This window comes from Homo sapiens, chromosome 19, assembly GCF_000001405.40.
Source record: "Homo sapiens chromosome 19, GRCh38.p14 Primary Assembly".
Classification (NCBI taxonomy): domain Eukaryota; kingdom Metazoa; phylum Chordata; class Mammalia; order Primates; family Hominidae; genus Homo; species Homo sapiens.
Genome location: NC_000019.10, coordinates 14,004,990 through 14,026,173, shown reverse-complemented (window position 1 = coordinate 14,026,173; position 21,184 = coordinate 14,004,990). Strand labels below are relative to the sequence as shown.

The window sequence follows — 21,184 nt, the reverse complement described above, 5'->3', positions numbered from 1 at the left end:
TATTTTTAGTAGAGACGGGGTTTCACTGTGTTAGCCAGGATGGTCTCGATCTCCTGACCTCGTGATCCGCCCGCCTCGACCTCCCAAAGTGCTGGGATTACAGGCGTGAGACACTGCGCCCGGCGGAAACCACACTTTTAAGAGCATGGGGTTATGAATTCAGGACTAAGATAATTCTCATATTACAAATGAGGAAACGGAGACACAGAAGGGTGTCCTGAGGCAGCAGATCCTAACGTTTTTGACGCCAGAAACCGGTTTCGTGGAAGACAATTTTTCCATGGATGGAGTGTCAAGTGGATGGTTTCGGGATGATTCAAGCGTATCACTTTTTTTTTTTTTTTTTTTTTTTTTGAGATGGAGTCTTGCTGTGTCACCAGGCTGGAGTGCAATGGCGCAATCTTGGCTCACTGCAACTTCTGCCTCCCAGGTTCAAGCGATTCTCCTGCCTCAGCTTCCGAGTAGCTGGGACTACAGGCATATGCCACCACGCCCAGCTAATTTTTGTATTTTTAGTAGAGACGAGGTTTCACCATGTTGTCCAGGTTGGTCCCGATCTCTTGACCTCATGATCCGTCCACCTCGGCCTCCCAAAGTGCTGGGACTACAGGCATGAGCCACCGCGCCTGGCCAAGCGCATCACATTTATTGTGCACTTTATTTCTATTATTATTATACTGTAGTTGTATATTGAAATAATCATACAACTCACCATAATGTAAAATTAGTGGCAGTGGCCAGGCACAGTGGCTCATGCCTGTAATCCTAGAACTTTGGGCAGCTGAGGCGGGCGAGTCACTTGAGGTCAGGAGTTCGAGACCAGCCTGGCCGACATGGTCAAACCCCATCTCTACTAATAGTACAAAAATTAGCTGGGCATGGTGGCACATGCCTGTAATCCCAGTTACTCAGGAGTCTGAGGCAGGAGACTCACTTGAACCCAGGAGGCAGAGTCTGCAGTGAGCCGAGATTGAGCCACTGTGCATCAGCGTGGGCGACAGAGTGAGACTTTGTCACAAAAAATAATCATCATCATCATAATAAAATAAAAATATATATATTGAGAGGCTGGGAATGATGGCTCACGCCTGTAATTCCGGAACTTTGGGCAGCCAAGGCAGGAGGATTGCTTGAACCCAAGAGTTCCAGACCAGCCTGGGCAACAGGTGAAACCCCACCTCTACAAATAATGTAAAAATTAGCCAGGTGTGGTGGCACACATCTGTGATCCCAGCTACTCAGGAGGCTGAGGTGGGAAGATCACTTTTGCCTAAGCGTTCAAGGCTGCCATGAGCTGAGATTGCATCACTGCACTCCAGCCTGTACAACGGAGCCAAACCTTGTCTAAAAAAAAAAAAAATTGAGGCCGGGCATGGTGGCTCATGCCTGTAATCCCAGCACTTTGGGAGGCTGAGGAGGACGGATCACTTGAGGTCAAGAGTTTGAGACCAGCCTGGCCAACACGGTGAAACCCGTCTCTACTAAAAATACAAAAATTTGCTGGGCATGGTGGCAGATGCCTGTAATCCCAGCTACTCAGGAGGCTGAGGCAGGAGAATCTCTTGAACCTGGGAGTCGGAGGATGCAGTGAGCGGAGATCACGCCATTGCACTCCAGCCTGGGCAACAAGAGCGAAACTCTGTCTCAAAAAAAAAAAAAAAAAGAGAGAGATAACATCCATATAAAATAAAACTAACCAGGCCAGGTACGGTGGCTCACGTCTGTAATCCCAGCACTTTGGGAGGCCAAGGCGGGCAGATCACTTGAGTTCAGGAGTTTGAGACCAGCCTGTCCACCGTAGTGTAAAACCCAGTCTCTAACAAAAATACAAAAATTAGCCAGGTGGGAAACAGGTGGTTTACAAATGTAAACCACTGCGGCCAGTCTTTCTTTTTTAAAGAGATGAGGCCTAACTATGTTGCCCAGGCTGATCTGGAACTCCTGAGCTCAAGTGATCCTCCCCCTTTGGCCTCCCAAAGTGCTAGGACTACAGGCATGAGCCACCAGGCACAGCTATGTTAATGTCAATTTCACCTCGACTTTAAAACACAGCAAAAACAAGGGCTCTGGTAAGGGGGGCAAGCTTGGCTTCAAATTCCACCTCTGCCTCTTTCCTGCTGTGTGACCTTGGCCAAGTCACTTAAACTCTCTGTGCCTTGGTTTCCTCACTTGCAAAATGGGAAAGATTTAATGAGTGAGTCAAATTTTTACAACAATCTCCTGCATGAAGTAAGTGCTGTTTAAATGTTATTTCTACTGGACACGTTCCCTTTGGATTAGAACTTCATCTCTTTGTCCTTTTCTCTGTCACAAACTCCTGGCCCCAGTTGCCTGCTGTGGATGTCACAGGCCAAGGGCAACCTTCCGGAGGCAGAGGTCACCTCTGATTGCTCTGTTTCTAAAGGGCTGGTGAATAATACTCTCTTCCCCTCGGCCTCTTCTCCAGGAACTTCCTGTAGGGAGGTACCCTCCTGCCCTTTTCTCCTGCGCCCCCAGTGCCTGGCCTGGGGAAGAACAAGCATTCAGGAAATATCTGCTGCCTGCCTGCCTGACTTAACTGATGGGCCTCAAACCAGAAGCCTCTTTTTTCTTTTTCTTTTCTTTTTTTTTTTTTTTTGACACAGGGTCTCACTCTGTCGCTCAGACTGGAGTGCAATGGAGTGATCTCGGCTCATCGCAGCCTCTGTCTCCAGGGTTCAAGCTATTCATGTGCCTCAGCCTCCCAAGTAGCTAGGACTGCAGGTGTGCGCCACCATGTCTGGTTAATTTTTGTATTTTTAGTAGAGACGGGGTTTTGCCATGTTGGCCAGGCTAGCCTCAAACTCTTGATCTCAAGTGATCTGCCCACCTCAGCCTCCCAAAGTGCTGGCGTGAGTCACTGCACCCAGCCCAGAAGCGTCTTTTGTGTCTCACATAGAATCAGAGTTTTGGGCCCAACATAGCTAGGTTCAAATCTCTGTTCCTGTGTATCCTTGGGCAAGACCCTATACCTCTCTGAGTTCATTGTGAAGATGGAGATGATAAGTATACCTGCTTCATGAGCCTCTTGGGGACTTTGGTGAAATTCTATAGAGTCCTAAGCATTCTGCACAGCACTCGTCGGTGTGGTGTGTAAATGGTGATCTGCAGAAATCTATGTCCACATCCTAAACCCTGGGATCTATAAATGTGATCTTACTAGAAAAAAGTATTTGAAACCAAGTGCGGTGGCTCACACCTGTAATCCCAGCACACTGGGAGGCCAAGGAGGACGGATCACCTGGGGTCAGGAGTTTGAGACCAGCCTGGCCAACACAGTGAAACCCTGTCTCTACTAAAAAATAAAAAAATTAGTCAGGCACGGTGGCAGGTGCCTGTAATCTCAGCTACTCAGGAGGCTGAGGCAGGAGGATTGCTTGAGCCCAGAAGGTCACGGCTGCAGTGAGCCATGATTGTGTCACCCAGCTTGGGTGACAGAGATCCTATCTTAAAACAAAACAAAACAAAACCTTAGCCAGGTGAGGTGATGTGTGCCTGTATTTCCAGCTACTTAGGAAGCTGAGGCCGGAGGAACACTTGAGCGTAAGAGTTTAAGACCAGCCTGGGCAAAATGTCAAGATCTGGCCTTTAAAAAATAGAAAATATTAGCCAGGCATGCATGCCTGTGGTCTCAGCTACTTGGAAGACCAAGGCAGGAGGATTGCTAGAGGCCAGGAGTTCCACACCAGCTTGGACAATACAGTGACACTCCCGTCTCTACAAATACAAAAATTAGCTGGGTATGGTGGTGTGTTCCTGTAGTCCCCTACACAGGAGGCTGAGGTGGGAGGATCGCTTGAGCCCAGGAATTTGAGACTGTAGTGAGCTGGGATGGTGTCACTGCACTCCAGCCTCGGCAACAGAGTGAGACCCTGTCTCAAAAAAAAAAAAGAAAGAAAGAAAAAGAAAAAGAGCTTTTGCAAATGTAATTAAGAATCTTTAGATGGCCTTGGGGGGTGGCTCATGCCTGTAATCCCAGGACTTCAGGAAGCTGAGGCAGGCAGATCACCTGAGGTCAGGAGTTCCAGACCAGCCTGGCCAACATGGTGAAACCCGGTCTCTACTGAAAATACAAAAATTAGCTGGGTGTGGTGACGGGCACCTGTAATATGAGCTACTCAGGAGGCTGATCCAGGAGAATCGCTTGAACCCGGGAGTCGGAGGTTGCATTGAACCCAGATCGCATGCCACTGCACTCCAGTCTGAGCAACACAGTGAGACTCCATTAAAAAAAAATTAAAAAGAACCTTAAGATGAGCTCAACCTGGATTATCTTCGTGGGCCCTAAATCCAATTATGAGTGTCCTTTTAAAAAACAAAAGAGTTGAAGACACAGACAAAAGAGGAAAGTTCATATGAAGACAGAGGCAGAAATTGGCTTAATGCCATTGAGGAAGCCAAGGAAGGCCTGGAGCCTCCAGAAGCTGGAAGAGGCAAGGAGGGACCCTCCCCTAGAGGCCTCAGAGGGGGCGCGGCCCTGCGACGCCTGCATTTCAGACTCCTGACAACCAGAACAGGAAGGGAATAAATGTTCATTGGTGTAAGCCACCTGGTTTGTGGACACTGGTTACAGCAGCTACAGTGAAATGAATATAGTCAGAACGGGAAATGTCACCTGCTAGGAATATGGGTGTCATGATGATTTTGTTCACTATAAAAATGCAAGCCAATTTTGCCAATTCTAAATAAAGCCCTGATTTCCAAACTTTATATATATAATATATATTTATAAGTTTATAAAATTATTATGATATACATTTATAAATTATAATATATCTATAATATACATAACATCTATAACATATAAATATATTTATATATCATATAATAAACATATTATATAATATGCATATATCATAATAAACATAATATGCATATATCATATATAAACATATTATATAATATGTTTATATATTATATAAACATATATAATATACTTATATATTGTATAATATATATTATATAAGTATACTTATATATTATAGATGTTATATATTATACTATATTCTATTATATAATATACTTATATATTATATAGAAATACATTTATATATTTATATATAAATATATTATAATTATAATAATATAGTATATTATAATATATAAATATATTCTACATAAATATATATGATATATTTATATATTTATATATATAATATAAATAGGTTATATAATATATTATATATATTTATATTTATGTATAATATATATATTTATTTTATATATATAATATATATAATATATATTATAAAATATATAATAAAATATTTATATATTTATTATATTATAATACAATATATAATATATAATATAAAATTATATATTATATTATATTAAGATAAGCTCATCCTGGATTATCTGGGTGGGCCCTAAATCCAATTATGAGTGTCCTTTTAAAAAAACAAAACAGTTGAAGATACAGACTGTATATATATATATATATATAAAATATATAAATATATGTGTTATATGTAATTATTATAAAAATATACATTATATATTAAATATAATTATTATATATCATGTATGATATATAATGTATATGATATATAATGTATATTATATATCATGTATAATCTATTATATGAGATATAATTTTATATTTATGTTATACAATATATCATAGCATTTATATATAACATATTATATAACATATTTATATAATATATAAATATTTTATTTATAGAATATGTTATAATATATTAATATATTATATTATAATTAATATATTATAATGTATTATGATATATAATATATAATATGTAATATAAATATGTTATATAATGTATAATATAGATTTATATTTCCTATCTCTGGGGACATGTTAAAAAAGTATACAAAAAATATATAATATATAATATGTAATATATACATTATATATTATATGTTACATTATGCTATATAAAATAAATACATAGCATAATGTAACATATTTTTATGATATATTATTTATATAATATAAATATAGCACATATAAATATAGCCTAGGACATAATGTAACATTTTTATAATATATTAATATATTGTATACAGAAATATATGTAAATTAATACATCTTATATTAATATAATTTAATTAGTATAATATAATTAATTAATATAATATATTACCTTAATATAAATTAATATGTTGTATACATATATGTATGTATACAATATATTAACATATTATATATAAATATATATTATATATATATTGAGATGGAGTCTTGCTCTGTCATCCAGGCTGGAGTGCAGTGGCACCATCTCAGTGCACTGCAATGTCCACCTCCTGGGTTCAAGTGATTCTCCTGTCTCAGCCTCCCGAGTAGCTGAAACTACAGGCACCCGCCACCACTCCCGGCTAATTTTTGTATTTTTATTAGAGATGGTGTTTCACCATGTTGGCCAGGGTAGTCTCAAACTCTTGGCCTCAAGTGATCCACCTGCCTCAGCCTCCCAAAGTGCTGAGGTTACAGACATGAGCCACTGTGCCCAGCAATACAATAAATATATATATATATATATATATATATATATATATATATATATATATATATATATTTTTTTTTTTTTTTTTTTTTTTTTTAAGAGACTGGAGTCTCGCTGTGTTGCCAGGCTGGTCTTAGTTCCCTTTCCTAAAGTGATCGTCCCACCTCAGCCTCCCAAATAGCTGGGATTAGAGGTCTGTATCACTGCCCTCAGCTTCTCCAAACTATTTAATTTATCTTCGAATAGTTAATACATTTACATGCTTCAAAAAGCAAAGCATATAAGGTTTATGAAGCAGCATCTGCCTTCCAAGTTTCAGTTCCTCCCCTTTCTCTCATGAATAACCACAGCTCTTAATTTCCTGAGTATCTTTCCAGAATTACTTTGTACACATGAAAACAAATATGAATACAGGTTTTTTTTTTCTTTATGAGACAGGGTCTCACTCCGTTGCCCAGGCTAGAGTCAGCAGCAATATCACGGCTCACTGCAGCCTCGATCTCCCGGGCTCAAGTTATCCTCCCACCTTAGCCGCCTGAGTAGCTGGGACCACAGATGCATACCACTCTCAGCTCATTTTTAAATTTTTTGTAGAGACAGGGTCTCAGTATGTGCCCCAGGCAGGTCTCAAACTCCTAGGCTTGCTTTATTTATTTATTTATTTATTTATTTTTTGAGACAGGGTCTTACTCTATCACCCAGGCTGAAGTGCAGTAGCACCATCCCAGCTCACTGTAGCCTTGACCTCCTGGGCTCAAGTGATCCTCCTGCCTCAGCCTCCCAGAGTAGCTGAGACCACAGGCACATGTCACCACGCCCAGCTAAATTTTTTTTTTTTTTTTTTTTGCAGAAACAGGGTTTCACCATGTTGCCCAGGCTGGTCTTAAACTCCTGAGTTCAAGCAACCTGCCTGCCTCATCCTCCCAAAGTGCTGGGATTATAGGTGTGAGCCATTGTGCCCCGCCAGTATGTTAAACCCATTTTTTTCCCTCTTTGGCTTTGTCTGGCTCTGGCTCTGTCACTCAGACTGGAGTGCAGTGGCACGATCATAGCTCACTGCAGTCTCAAACCCCTGGGATCAAGCCATCTTCCCACCTCAGCTCACTACTATGCTTGGCCAATATTTTTCTTTTTCTTGTTTTTTTTTTTCTTTTTTTTTTTAGAGACAGGGCCTCAATATTTTGCCCAGGCATGAGCTGCTGCACCTGGCCTAAACATTTTTTGTTAATGTGGCAAAATACATGTAAAATTTACCGTTTTAACATTTTTTTTTTCTTTTGGCATGGAGTTTTGCTCTTGTTGCGCAGGCTGGAGTGCAATGCCGCCATCTTGACTCGCTGCAGTCTCCACCTCCCAGGTTCCAGCGATTCTCCTGTCTCAGCCTCCCGAGTAGCTGGAATTACAGGCGTGCGCCACTACATCCAGCTAATGTGTTTTGTATTTTTAGTAGAGACGGGGTTTCACCATGTTGGCCAGGCTGGTCTTGAATCCTGACCTCAGGGGATCTCCCCACCTCGGGCTCCCAAAGTGCTGGGATTACAGGCGTGAGCACTGTGTCCGGCTGTTTTAACTATTTTTAAGTGTACGATTCAGTGGCATTACCCATATTTACATTATTGTGCAATCATCCATCTCCAGAACATTTTGTCTTCCCCAACCAAAACTCTGTCCCCATTAAACACTCTCTCCGTCCTTCCTCCTTCTACCCCTGGCAACCACCATACTACTTTCTACCCCTGTGAATTTTTTTTTTTTTCTTGAGGTGGAGTTTCCCTCCCATTGCACAGTCTGGAGTGCAGTGGCGCCATCTCGGCTCACTGCAACCTCCACCTCCTGGGTTAAAGTGATTCTCCTTCCTCAGCCTCCTGAGTAGCTGGGATTACAGGCACCCGCCACTACACCCAGGTAATTTTTTTTTTTTTTTTTTTTTTTTGAAACAGAGTCTCGCTCTGTCGCCAGGCTGGAATGCAGTGGTGCGACCTCAGCTCACTGCAACCTCCGCCTCCCAGGTTCAAGGGATTCCCCTGCCTCAGCCTCCCGAGTAGCTGGGATTACAGGCACATGCCACCGCACCTGGCTAATTTTTTGTATTTTAGTAGAGACGGGGTTTCACCATGTTGGCTGGGATGGTCTCGATCTCCTGACCTCGTTATCCACCCGCCTCGGCCTCCCAGAATGCTGGGATTACAGGCGTGATCCACCGTGCCTGGCCTAATTTTTGTATTTCTAGTGGAGATGGCATTTCACCATGTTGGCCAGGCTGGTCTTGAACTCCTGACCTCAGGCTATCCACTCACCTCGGCCTCCCAAAGTGCTAGGATTACAGGCCTGAGCCACCGCACCCGGACTTTTAAAAATTTTTTTCCGAGATGGAGTCTTGCTCTGTCACCTAGACTGGAGTGCACTGGTATGATCTCGGCTCACTGCAACCCTCGCCTCTCGGGTTCAAGAGATCCTCCTGCCCCAGCCTCCCAAGTAGCTGGGATTACAGGTGGGCACCACTAGGCCCAGCAAATTTTTGTATTTTTAGTAGAGATGGGGTTTCACCATGTTGGCCAGGCTGGTCTCAAACTCCTGACCTTTCTATCCACCCACCTTAGCCTCCCAAAGTGCTGGGATTATAGGCATGAGCCACCACACCTGGCTGAGACTTCATTTCTCCAAAAGAATTTTTAAAATTTGGCCCAGGGTGGTGGCGTGTGCTTGTAGTCCCATCTACTTGGGAGGCTGAGGTGGGAGGATCACTTGAGCCCAGGAGTTGGCGGCTGCAGTGAGCTATGATTGTGCCACTGCACTCCAGCCTGGGTGACAGAGCAAGATCCTGTCCAGTCTCACTAGAAACGAGGTCTTATTATGTTGCCCAGGCTGGTCTCGAACTTCTGGGCTCAAGTGATCCTCCCACCTCGGCCTCCCAAAGTGCTGGGATTATAGGCATGAGCCAGCATGCTTGGCCCAGAATTTCATTAAAAGGTAGCATGTTCTACACATTCTTCTGAATGTTGCTTCTCCCACGTGACTTAACAAGTGTTGGAGATCTCTTAACAAAACTTTATTTTATTTTATTTTAATTTTTATTGAGACGGAGTCTTGCTCTTGCCCAGGCTGGAGTGCAGTGGCGCCAACTCGGCTCATTGCAACCTCTGTCTCCCAGGTTCAAGGAATTCTCAGCCGGGCTCAGTGGCTCACGCCTGTAACCCCAGCACTTTGGGAGGCCGAGGCGGGCAGATCACGAGGTCAGGAGATCGAGACCATCCTGGCTAACACGGTGAAACCCCATCTCTACTAAAAATACAAAAAATTAGCTGGGCGTGGTGGCAGGTGCCTGTAGTCCCAGCTACTCGGGAGGCTGAGGCAGGAGAATGGCATGAACCTGGCAGGTGGAGCTTGCCGTGAGCCGAGATCGCGCCACTGCACTCCAGCCTGGGTGACAGAGTGAGACTCCGTCTCAAAAAAAAAAAAAAAAAAGGAATTCTCATGCCTCAGCCTCCCAAGTAGCTGGGACTACAGGTGCATGCCACCATGCCCAGCTAATTTTTTTATTTTTTAGTAGAGATGGGATTTCACCATGTTGGCCAGGCTGGTCTCAAACTCCTGACCTCAAGTGATAGGCCCGCCTTGGCCTCCCAGAGTGCTGGGATTACAGGCGTGAGCCACTGTGCCTGGCCACATTCTTGTTATTTTTTATTTTTATTTTTTCACAGCTGCATAGCATGCTGCTGTGTGAATGCTTTATGGTTAATTTCACTCTCAGAGATGGACATTTTTTCCACTCGTTTGTTCTTAGGCTGACATCGCCATACAGAACGTCATTTTACACATATGCAAGTGTCTCTGTGGATAAATTTTCCGAAGCGGGATTTCTGGCTCAAAGACTGTGTGCATTTGTAATTTTTACGCATATTGACAAATATTCCCCCTCAGGTGTTAGAGCGATTCACACTCTCTCTAGCAATGGGTAAAAGTTCTGCTGCCTTACAGCCTTACCAACAGAGAGTGTTATCGAACTTTGGTTTCTTGCCAACATGACATGTGAAAAATAGTATCTCAGAGTAGAGAAAATTTGCATTTTCCTGACCACAAGCAAGGCAGGGCAAAGTCCCATGTGTTTAAGGACCATTAGTTTCCTCTGTACTCTCTGGTAACCTCCCTTGCCTAGTATACTTTTGGATTATTGATCTTTTTCCTTCTTTTTTTAATTTTTTTTTTTTTTGAGACAGAGTCCCGCTCTGTTGACCAGGCTGGAGTGCAATGGCATGGTCTCGCTCACTGCAACCTCCAACTCCCAGGTTTAAGCAATTCTCTTGCCTCAGCCTCTCGAGTAGCTGGGATTACAGGCAACTGCCACCACGCCCAGCTTATTTATTTATTTATTTATTTTGTATTTTTAGTAGAGACGGGGTTTCGGCATGGTGGTCAGGCTAGTCTCCAACTCCTGACCTCAGGTGATCTGCTCACCTCAGCCTCCCAAAGTGCTGGGATTACAGGCATGAGCCACCACCCCCGGCCAAATTTTTTTTTTTTTTTTTTTTTTGGATGGAGTCTGGCTCTGTTGTTCAGGCTAGAGTGCAGTGATGCAATCTCGGCTCACTGCAACCTCTGCCTCCCGGGTTCAAGTCATTCTCATGCCTCAGCCTACCGAGTAGCTGAGATTACAAGTGCCCGCCACCTCGCCCGGCTAATTTTTGTATTTTTAGTAGAGATGGGGTTTCACCATGTTAGCCAGGCTGGTCTCGAACTCCTGATCTTAGGTGATCTGCCCGCCTCGGCCTCCCAAAGTGCTGGGATTACAGGCATGAGCCACCGCACCCGGCCTCATCTACTTTTTTTAGCACCTATAGATGATCGCTGTCTGCATCAATGATTTTGCTGGCTTTTGCAACATGGTGATTTTCTAATTCTTTCCTTCTCTTTTTTCTTTGTTTTGAGACAGAGTTTTGCTCTTGTCACCCAGGCTGGGGTGCAGTGGCGCGATCTTGGCTTACTGCAGCCTCCGCCTCCCAGGTGCAAGTGATTCTCCTGCCTCAGCCTCCCGAATAGCTGGGATTACAGGCGCACAACACCATGCCTGGCTGATTTTTGTAATATTAGTAGAGACGGGGTTTCACCATGTTGGTCAGGCTGGTCTCGAACTCCTGACCTCAAGTGATCCACTCACCTTGGCCTCCCACAGTGCTGGCATTACAGGTGTAAGTAAGTAAGTAAGTAAAAATGCCTGGCCTTTTTTTTTTTTTTTTTTTTTTTTTGAGACAGACTCTCACTCTGTTGCCCAGTTGCCCAGGCGGTAGTCCAGTGGTGTGATCTCCGCTCACTGCAGCCTCTGCCTCCTGGGTTCAAGCTATTCTCCTGCCTCAGCCTCTCAAGTAGCTGGGATTACAAGGGTGTGCCATCACACCTGGCTAATTTTTGTATTTTTAGTAGAGACGGGGTTTCACCATGTTGCCCAGGCTGGTCTTGAACCCCTGACCTCTGGTGATCCACCCACCTCAGCCTCCCAAAGTGATTATAGGCATAAGCTACCATGCCCAGATAATTGCTGTATTTTTAGTAGAGACAGGGTTTTGCCATGTTGGCCAGCTGGTCTTGAACTCCCAACCTAGGTGATCCTCCCACCTGGGCCTCCCAAAGTGCTGGAATTACAGGCGTAAGCCAGCATGCCTGGCCTGTTATTATTTATTTGAACTTTTTTCCATTACTTTTTTTTCTTTGTAGAGATGGAGTTTTGCTATGTTGCCCAGGCTGGTCTTGAACTTCTGAGTTCAAGTAATCCTCCCACCTTGGTCTCCCAAAGTGCTGGGATTACAAGCATGAGCCACCAAGCATGGACTGTTTGAGTTTTTCTTTTTTTTTTGAGATGGAGTCTCGCTCTGTCACCCAGGCTGGAGTGCAGTGGCACGAACTTGGCTCACTGCAAGCTCTGCCTCCTGGTTTCACGCCATTCTCCTGCCTCAGCCTCCCGAGTAGCTGGGACTACAGACGCCTGCCACCATGCCCGGCTAATTTTTTGTATTTTTAGTAGAGACGGGGTTTCACCGTGTTAGCCAGGATGGTCTCGATCTCCTGACCTCGTGATCCGCCCACCTCAGCCTCCCAAAGTGCTGGGATTACAGGCGTGAGCCACCACGTCCGGCCTCTTTTTTTAAAAAACTTTTTTTTTCTTCCATAGGTTATTGGGGAACAGGTGGTGCCTGGTTACATGAGCATGTTTTTAGTGGTGATTTGTGAGATTTTGGTGCACCCATCACCTGAGCAGTATACACTGCACCCTATTTGTAGTCTTTTATCCCTCAGCCCCTTCCCACCCTTCCCCCACTGAATCCCCAAAGCCTATTGTGTCATTCTTATGCCTTTGCATCCTCATAGTTTAGCTCCCACTTATGAGTGAGAACATACGATGTTTGGTTTTCCATTCCTGAGTTACTTCACTTAGAATAATAGCCTCCAAGTCCATCCAGGTTGCTGCGAATGCCATTAATTCATTCCTTTTTATGGCTGAGTAGTATTCCATTGAATATATATCCACAGTTTCTTTATCCACTCGCTGATTGATGGGCATTTGGATTGGGTCCACGTTTTTGCAATGACAAATTTTGCTGCTATAAACATGTATGTGCAAGTATCTTTTTTGTAGAATGACTTCTTTTCCTCTGGGTAGATACGCAGTAGTGGGATTGCTGGATCAGATGGTAGTTCTACTTTTAGTTCCTTGAGTACTCCCCACACTGTTTTCCATAGTGGTTGTACTAGTTTACATTCCCACCAGCTGTGTAGGAGGGTTCCCTGATCACTGCATCCATGCCAACATCTACTGTTTTTTTTGATTTTTTGATTATGGCCATTCTTGCAGGAGTTTAAGGTGGTATCACAATGTGGTTTTGATTTGCATCTCCCTGATCATTAGTGACGTTGAGCATTTTTTCATATGTTTGCTGGTCATTCGTATACCTTCTTTTGAGACATGTCTATTCATGTCCTAAGCCCACTTTTTGATGGGATTATTTGTTTTCTTCTTGTTGATTTGTTGAAATTCATTTTAAATTCTGGGTATTAGTCCTTTGTCAGATGTTTACATTGTGAAGATTTTTTCCCACTCTGTAGGTTGTCTGTTTACTCTACTGACTGTTACTTAGCTCTTTAGTCTAATTAAGTCCCAGAAATTTATCTTTGTTTTTATTGCATTTGCCTTTGGGCTCTTGGTCATGAAATCCTTGCCTAAGCCAATGTCTAGAAGGGTTTTTCCAATGTTATCTTCCAGAATTTTTATAGTTTCCAGTCTTAGATTTAAGTCCTTCACCCATCTTGAGTTGATTTTTGTATAAGGTGAGAGATGAGGATCCAGTTTCATTCTCCTACATGTGGCTAGCCAATTATCCTGGCGTTACTATTGAAAAGGGTGTCCTTTCCCCCCTTTTATGTTTTTGTTTGCTTTGCTGAAGACCAGTTGGCTGTTAAGTATTTGGGTTTATGGTCTATGTGCTTTTTTTTTTTTTTTTTTTTTTTTAGACAGGGTCTTACTCTGTCGCCCAGGCTGGAGTACAGTGGCGCGATCTTGGCTCACTGCAACCTCTGCCTCCCGGGTTCAAGCGATTCTCCTGCCTCAGCCTCCCTAATAGCTGAGATTACATGTGCCCACCACTGCGCCCACCTGATTTTTGTATTTTTAGTAGAGACGGGGTTGCACCATGTTGGCCAGACTGGTCTTGAACTCCTGACCTCAAGTGATCCACCTGCCTTGGCCTCCCAAAGTGCTGGGATTACAGGCTTCAGCCACCACGCCCGGCCTATGTGCCTATTTTTATACCAGTACCAGAGCACGGCCTATTTGAATGTTTGATTTGCAGTTAGTTGAATCTTCCAATGAATGTGTAACCTGTGGATACAGGGAGGGCTGACTATATGCTGTACAACCTCCACCAGATAAAAATATAGAACATTTCAGCCTCCACCTTGCATTTCCAGCCACAAAGTCTTATAATGAATTTTTTTTGAGACAGAGTCTCTCTCTGTCGCCCAAGCTGGCGTGCAGTGGCGCGATCTCGACTCACTGCAACCTCCACCTTCCAGGTTCCAGCCATTCTCCTGCCTCAGCCTCCCAAGTACGTGGGATTATGGGCACACACCACCATGCCCAGCTAACTTTGTATTTTTAGTAGAGACGGGGTTTCACCATGTTGGCCAGGCTGGTCTCAAACTGCTGACCTCAGGTGATCCGCCAGTCTAGGCCTCCCAAACTGCTGGGATTACAGGTGTGAGCCACCACGCCCAGCTGAATATTTTTGATGGACGACATGGTCTCTGGGCTTGGTCCAGCTACTTCTGGGCATTGGAGAAATGGGTAGGAGGTGGAAATAGGGCTTCTAGTTTCCCTCCCCACAATGAAGTCCCCATGGCTGGTCCTGGGACCCTGATGTGACTTGTATTGCCAGCTGGGATTCATTCTTGGGCACTGCCTGCCTGGAAGTCTCATTAATTCTTGCAGGTACTGTCAGGGCTGGGACTCAACCGGCAATTCCAGGCAGACTGGAGCTGCTGCTTCTCCTCTTCTCCCATCCAGGGTCACACCCAGGGCACTGGAAAGTCCCATGAAAAGAGATGGGCTCTGGTTCCTCCAGCTTCGTGATCTTGGGGTGGAGATGTTACAGGAAAGGGGGGTCCGATCCAGAGTCCAAGACAGGGTTCCTGGATATCACGCAAGAAAGAATTCAGGGCCTGGTGCGGTGGCTCACGCCTGTAATCCCAGCACTTTGGGAGGCCGAGGCGGGCAGATCACGAGGTCAGGAGTTAGAGACCAGCTTGGCCAATATGGTGTAACCCCATCTCTACTAAAAATACAAAAATTAGCCAGGCGTGGTGGCGCTCGCCTGTAGTCCCAGCTACTCGGGAGGCTGAGGCAAAAGAATCGCTTGAGCCTGGGAGGCGGAGGTTGCAATCAGTCAAGATCGTGCCACTGAACTCCAGCCTAGGTGACAGAGAGAGACTCCGTCTCAAAAAAAAAAAAAAAAAAAAGAATTCCAGGTGAGTCCGTAAAGTGGAAGCAAATTTGTAAGGAATAAAAGAATGGTTACTCCATAGAGCAGCCTCGAGGGCTGTATTTTTTTTTATTTTTTTTGAGATGGAGTCTCCATGTTGCCCAGGCTGGAGTGCAGTGGTGTGATCTTGGCTCACTGCAACCTCTGCCACCCGGGATCAAGCAATTCTCTTGCCTCAGCCTCCTGAGTAGCTGGGATCACAGGCATGCGCCACACGCCCGGCTAATTTTTGTATTTTAAGTAGAGACGGGGTTTCGCCATGCTGGCCAGGCTGTTCTTGAACTCCCGACCTCAAGCGATCTGCCAGCTTCGGCCTCCCAAAGTGCTGGGATTACAGGCATGAGCCACCACACTCAGCCTTATTTCTTGATGATATGCTAAACAAGGGGTGGATTATTCCATGCCTCTTGTTTTTAGTCCATATAAAGTAACTTCCTGGCGTTGCCATGGCATTTGTAAACTGTAATGGTGCTGGTGGGAGTGTAGCAGTGAGGACCAGACGTTACTCTCATGGCCATCTTGGTTTTGGTGGGTTTGAGCCAGCTTCTTTACTGCAACCTGTTTTATCAGCAAGGTCTTTATTTATGTATTTTTCTAAATTATTTTTAAAATTTTTATCTTTTTTGAAACAGAGTCTCACAATGTCACCCAGGCTGGAGTGCAGTGGCGCGATCCTGGCACACTGCACTCTCCACCTCCCGGGTTCAAGTAATTCTGCCTCAGCCTCCCTAGTAGCTGGGATTACAGGCGCACGCCACCACACCCGGCTAATTTTTGCATTTTTAGTACAGATGGGGTTTCACCATGTTGGCCAGGCTGGTCTCAAAATCCTGACCTCGTGATCTGCCCACCTTAGCCTCCCAAAGTGACGGGATTACAGGCGTGAGCCACCACGCCCGGCGAGGTCTTTATTTTTATTTATTTATTTATTTATTTATTTATTTATTTATTTATTTATTTGAGATGGAGTCTCACTCTGTCACCCAGGCTGGAGTGCAGTGGGGTGATCTCGGCTCACTGCAACCTCTGCCTCTCGGGTTCGAGCGATTCTCCTGCCTCAGCCTCCAAGTAGTTGAGATTACAGGTGCCCACCACCACGCCCATCTAATTTTCGTATTTTTATTAGAAATCGGGTTTTGCCATGTTTTCCATACTGGTCTCGAACTCCTGACCTCAAGTGATCCGCCCACTTCCGCCTCCCAAACTGTTCGGATTATAGGCATGAGCCACTGCACCCAGCCAGCAAGGTCTTTATGAACTGTATTTTGCGCTGACCTCCTGTCTTATCCTGTGACTAAGAATGCCTTAACCATTTAGGAATGAAGCCTAGCAGGTCTCAGCCTCATTTTACCCAGTTCCTGTTCAAGATGGAGTTGCTCTGGTTCACACGCCTCTGGCAGAGAGGGCACCTACTTCCTCTCTCTGGGCATCCATTGCCCACCTGTCAAGAGCGGGGAGCGTCCCACTTTGCTGGGTTCGCTGGGAATTATGTGGCTATTATTACCTCTACAACCTTATCTCTCCTGGCTTTAGCAGAAGTTCCTGTTCCCAGCTTTGAAGGCAGTTCTCTCCCCCCGTTTTTTTTTTTTTTTTTTGAGACGGAGTCTCACTGTGTTGCCCAGGCTGGAGTACAGTGGCGCGATCTTGGCTCACTGCAACCTCTGCCTCCCAGGTTCAAGTGATTCTCCCACCTCAGCCTCCCCAGTAGCTGGGACTACAGGCACGTGCCACCACACCGACCTATTTTAGTATTTTTAGTAGAGACAGGATTTCGCCGTGTTGGCCAGACTGTTCTGGAACTCCTGAACTTGGCCTCCCAAAGTGCTGGGATTACAGGCATGAGCCATCATGACCGGCCCCTCCACCTGGATTTATGAGGCTTGCTTCGTCTCTCACCACTCAGGCTCATTCTGTGGGACATCCCCCCTCAGATAACACTGGCTACAGCATCCTCTCATTCTCCTACCCCACTCTCTTATGTTGCTCTCAGGACTCTAAGGAGCCTATCTTACAATTTATCTGTTTATTGTGTATCCCATCCTAGAATGCAAAGGGAGTTGTTTGCTTTCTTTTTTTTCCTTTTTTTCTTTTTTTTCTGAGACTCAGGCTGGACCACACAATCATTGCTTACTGCAGCCTCTACCTCCGGAGCTGAACCAATCCTGCCAGCCTCAGCCTCCAGAGTAGCTGGGACCACAGGCACATGCCACCACGCCTAGCTAATTGCTTTTTTTTTTTTGAGACAAAGTCTCGCTCTGTCGCCCAGGCTGGAGTGCAGTGGCAGAATCTTGGTTCACTGCAACCTCCCCCTCCCGGGTTCAAGCAATCCTCCTACCTCAGCCTCCGGAGTAGCTGGGATTACAGGCATACACTACCATGCCCAGCTAATTTTTGTAGAGACGGGTGTCTTGCTTTGTTGCCAAGGCTGGTCTTGAACTCCTTGGCTCAAGCAATCTTCCTTGCTTGGCCTCCCAAAGTGCTGGGATTACAGGTGTGAGCCACCATAAATGAAGTCACCTTTCTTCACTTGTATAGCCCAGGGCCTTGCACCGAGGAAATATAATGTTGGTTGAATTAGGAAACAAACTTAGGTGGAGTCACTTTCTGAATGCCACACAGCAGGGCTGGCATTAGACTTCAGGGCTGTCTGAGCCTGTTTTCTTTTCCCCTTGCTGTTCTAGGGCCTACCTGGGATGAGAATGCAAAATTTAAGAGAAGGCCAAAGAGCTCAGTCATAAGATAATTGACATTTAAAACATAAAAAGTAGGCCGGGCGTGGTGGCTCACGCCTGTAACCCCAGCACTTTGGGAGGCCGAGGCGGGCGGATCACGAGGTCAGGAGATCGAGACCATCCTGGCTAACACGGTGAAACCCCGTCTCTACTAAATATACAAAAAATTAGCCGGGCGTGGTGGCGAGCACCTGTAGTCCCAGCTACTCGGGAGGCTGAGGCAGGAGAATGGCGTGAACCTGGGAGGCGGAGCTTGCAGTGAGCCGAGATTGCGCCACTGCACTCCAGCCTCAGCGACAGAGTGAGACTCCGTCTCAAAAAATAATAATAATAAATTTATTTTAAACACAAGATCTGACCCTGAGCTTGCATAACGCATCTCACCTTAATCCCTGTGTTGGCGGATCCTGTCTTTATTTAAAATTGTGATGTTTTGTTCATCATAGATTTATTTTTTCCCATTAATTTGGATATTTAACAAATATTGAATTAGAAGATTATTTATCTTGATGACTGAGTTTTTGCTCCCAAGATGTTCACCCTAGTCCGGGCCCTGTTTCTGTCTCTTCTCGTCCTGCAGCACCCAGACAGTCCCTTGAGGAAACTGAGGCACAGAGGAGCGTATGTGTGGGAGGTGTGTGTGTGTGGCGGGGGTTGTGGTGAGCTCTCCTGGGCGGACCAAGCTCCCTGGGCTGGGTCGGGGCTGACCTTTGCTTATCTACCGCGGTTGAAGCCGCGAATGAAGTCCCCCGCCTTGCAGAGACCTTTCCCAAGGCGGCCGCACCGCCTGCGGGGCAGAGATAGCCGCGGTCACCCCGGCAGCGGTGACCTTTTCCGGCTGGAGGGGACCGGGAGGCGGGAGAAGGCGCGGCGGCCGCGCTGTCTGGCCGGCTTGGGCGGAGGAGGATGTCACCCCAGCGGGTGGGAGCTGGGATCGAACCCCGCCGCGGCCTCCCGCTTCCACCCAACCCCGACGGGGCCATGGGCAGTGGGGAAGGGGGACGCGCGCCCAGTGACGTCATCGAATCCCGAGTCCGGCCTTCGCCGCTGTCGTCACAGAGGGGCTGCGCTGCGTCACTGCATTCCTCCCCTGACGTCAGCGCAAGAAGCCAGAAACTGGCCCACCGAGCGAGAGAGAAGTCTGGAGCGGAGTCTTCCTTTCTCGCCTTTTTAATTTGGTAAGACATGTAAAGTGTACGCAAGAGCGGACTACAACTCCCAATCGGCCTTGCGTGCCGAGCATGCGCACGGCCTCCAGCCAGAGAGCGCGGCAAACCTTTGGTAGATTGACGTCCCTTTAGTCGAACCAGGAGGCCGGTTTTACATCGGCAAACCAATCCCGTCCTCACGAGTCCTACCCCTTTATTCTTAACCAGCTGCTTCCCTGCCGGAGTGACGGGCCCGGCTGCCTTTGAGGGTTCAGTTTCTTTTGATGGACATTCATACTGATAAATCAGATCGCCGGGAAGTCCAGAGGGTGTTGAAAAGCGTGCATCGGAACTAATAGTTTAGCTGCAAGGCCTGGCGCCGTCCAATCACTTCTCCGGCCGCCGCCAATCACCCCGGGCCCCGCCCCCGCGCGTGACGTAACTAGGGTGGGTAGCAACAGTTGCCCCGGTGAGGGAAACGGAGGCGCCATAGCCACGGTAGTCGTGGCGACCAAGCAACCCGGCAACGCGAGTCAACAACAACAACCGCCCGGCCGACCCCCACCCCCACCCCCCAGGCCCGGCCCGGGGACCCCAGCACGTCCCGTCCCCTTCCCAACATCGACTCCGAGACCTCCGAAAAGCGTTTCCGCAGACAGAAGTGGGGAGAAGCGGAGGTAACCAGGGCGGCCCCGGGGTGGCTGGCCGGGCCGGGGTGGGCGGCGGGGCCGGGGCAGTAGGTGTCTCTGTAATCACAGTCCGGGGGGAAGGGGCGGGCGGTCAAAATGGCGGCGGCGACTGTCTGGACCGTGGGGGAGGGGGCCGGGGCCCGGCTGGAACGACACCACCCGCCCCCGTCCCCGCGGCCCGGCCCCCGCGAGGGGCGGGCGCTCGCAGGCCCGCGGCGAGTGGAGGTCGGCAGGCCGGGGCGGGGGGCTTTTATATGTCGGGAGCGCGAAGGGGCGGGCCTGGGGAGGCTGGGCCAATGGGAGCGAGGGAGGTACGAGGCGGGGCCAAGGTGGGTGGGCGGGACCAGGAGGGAAGGTATGGGCGGGGCCGGCTGGGTCTCCCCAACCTCCACCTCGGGAACCAGGGTGGGCAGCCACCACCCGGTCCGCCTTCCAGATCCTTAAGCGACTCCCTTCTTCCTTAAGAGCTTTGCAGTTGTCCCAGGACTCAGAACTTGGACAAGTGCCTGTCCATCTGAGGCCTCAGTTTTCCATCCTGTAAAATGGGGAGAATCATTGACATCGCCCTTTTCCTGCAGTACCGGGACTCCTCATTCCTTCCAGGAATTTTACTTACGGCTTATCTTTGAACCTTTTCCTCGTATCTACCGTTTCTGAATGTGGTTTGATAAAATAACTGTCAGCTAGTCCTGATTTCAACACTGCAGCCCACTCCTAAACCTGCCACCTTCTCTCTGGGAGGAAGCAAAGAGGAAGCAAAGTTTCATGGAGGAGCTAGGAGTCGATTTGGCTTTAGCGTGGAGGATCTGGTTTGCAGAAATCAAAGTCCATGGTAGGGAGGAGTGACCATGAGGGAATGCTTTAGAGGAACAGAAACCTGAGTGCTTTTCTCTGGGCTGCTGTTTGAGACCTGATGTTTCCTGGTTTGAGGTTGCGGGGGTTTGTTCCTGGAGATGGAACGTTTCTGGGTCCTGCCCATCGAGGTCTCCCCTACTGGGAATGGGGGAGCAAATGAAGCCTGAGGAAGTTTCTTAGATTTTTTAAACCCGCTTCTCTTGGCCAGACACATGTTTTTGTGTCAAACGAGTGTCAACCGAGTCA

General features: G+C 46.6%; 1 protein-coding gene across 9 annotated transcripts in view, besides 9 other annotated features; it reads left to right on the top strand.

Annotated features, from left to right (window-relative positions):
* Nucleotides 1,661-2,161: an enhancer, noted in NCBI's record as "H3K27ac hESC enhancer chr19:14134825-14135325 (GRCh37/hg19 assembly coordinates)". NCBI's record gives its function as "activates a minimal SCP1, AML or CMV promoter by ChIP-STARR-seq in naive H9 embryonic stem cells {active_cell/tissue: H9 hESC(naive)}" and the evidence as "EXISTENCE:reporter gene assay evidence [ECO:0000049][PMID:30033119]".
* Nucleotides 2,162-2,662: an enhancer, noted in NCBI's record as "H3K27ac hESC enhancer chr19:14134324-14134824 (GRCh37/hg19 assembly coordinates)". NCBI's record gives its function as "activates a minimal SCP1, AML or CMV promoter by ChIP-STARR-seq in naive H9 embryonic stem cells {active_cell/tissue: H9 hESC(naive)}" and the evidence as "EXISTENCE:reporter gene assay evidence [ECO:0000049][PMID:30033119]".
* Nucleotides 2,259-2,658: a transcriptional cis regulatory region, noted in NCBI's record as "candidate enhancer chr19.2299 targeted for multiplex CRISPR interference". NCBI's record gives its function as "positively regulates GIPC1 gene expression with high confidence in K562 cells {active_cell/tissue: K562}" and the evidence as "EXISTENCE:mutant phenotype evidence [ECO:0000015][PMID:30612741]".
* Nucleotides 19,044-19,571: an enhancer, noted in NCBI's record as "H3K27ac hESC enhancer chr19:14117415-14117942 (GRCh37/hg19 assembly coordinates)". NCBI's record gives its function as "activates a minimal SCP1, AML or CMV promoter by ChIP-STARR-seq in naive and primed H9 embryonic stem cells {active_cell/tissue: H9 hESC(naive and primed)}" and the evidence as "EXISTENCE:reporter gene assay evidence [ECO:0000049][PMID:30033119]".
* RFX1 (regulatory factor X1) overlaps nt 19,358-21,184 on the top strand; it is a 45,287-nt gene continuing 43,460 nt past the window's right edge. For 7 of the 9 annotated variants that reach the window (XM_011528170.3, XM_047439194.1, XM_011528167.3 and 4 more), the window contains exon 1: nt 19,358-19,424. The gene's annotated coding sequence lies outside the window, so the exon portion shown is untranslated. Of the gene's footprint in view, nt 19,425-19,853; nt 20,072-21,184 lie in introns of those variants that run through there. The other 2 variants (XM_011528169.3, NM_002918.5) reach the window with 1 other exon arrangement.
* Nucleotides 19,572-20,099: an enhancer, noted in NCBI's record as "H3K27ac hESC enhancer chr19:14116887-14117414 (GRCh37/hg19 assembly coordinates)". NCBI's record gives its function as "activates a minimal SCP1, AML or CMV promoter by ChIP-STARR-seq in naive H9 embryonic stem cells {active_cell/tissue: H9 hESC(naive)}" and the evidence as "EXISTENCE:reporter gene assay evidence [ECO:0000049][PMID:30033119]".
* Nucleotides 19,823-20,002: a silencer, noted in NCBI's record as "silent region_10221". NCBI's record gives its function as "represses an Ori minimal core promoter by ATAC-STARR-seq in GM12878 lymphoblastoid cells {active_cell/tissue: GM12878}" and the evidence as "EXISTENCE:reporter gene assay evidence [ECO:0000049][PMID:35858748]".
* Nucleotides 20,053-20,432: a silencer, noted in NCBI's record as "silent region_10220". NCBI's record gives its function as "represses an Ori minimal core promoter by ATAC-STARR-seq in GM12878 lymphoblastoid cells {active_cell/tissue: GM12878}" and the evidence as "EXISTENCE:reporter gene assay evidence [ECO:0000049][PMID:35858748]".
* Nucleotides 20,053-20,628: a biological region, named in NCBI's record as "H3K27ac hESC enhancer GRCh37_chr19:14116358-14116886".
* Nucleotides 20,100-20,628: an enhancer, noted in NCBI's record as "H3K27ac hESC enhancer chr19:14116358-14116886 (GRCh37/hg19 assembly coordinates)". NCBI's record gives its function as "activates a minimal SCP1, AML or CMV promoter by ChIP-STARR-seq in primed H9 embryonic stem cells {active_cell/tissue: H9 hESC(primed)}" and the evidence as "EXISTENCE:reporter gene assay evidence [ECO:0000049][PMID:30033119]".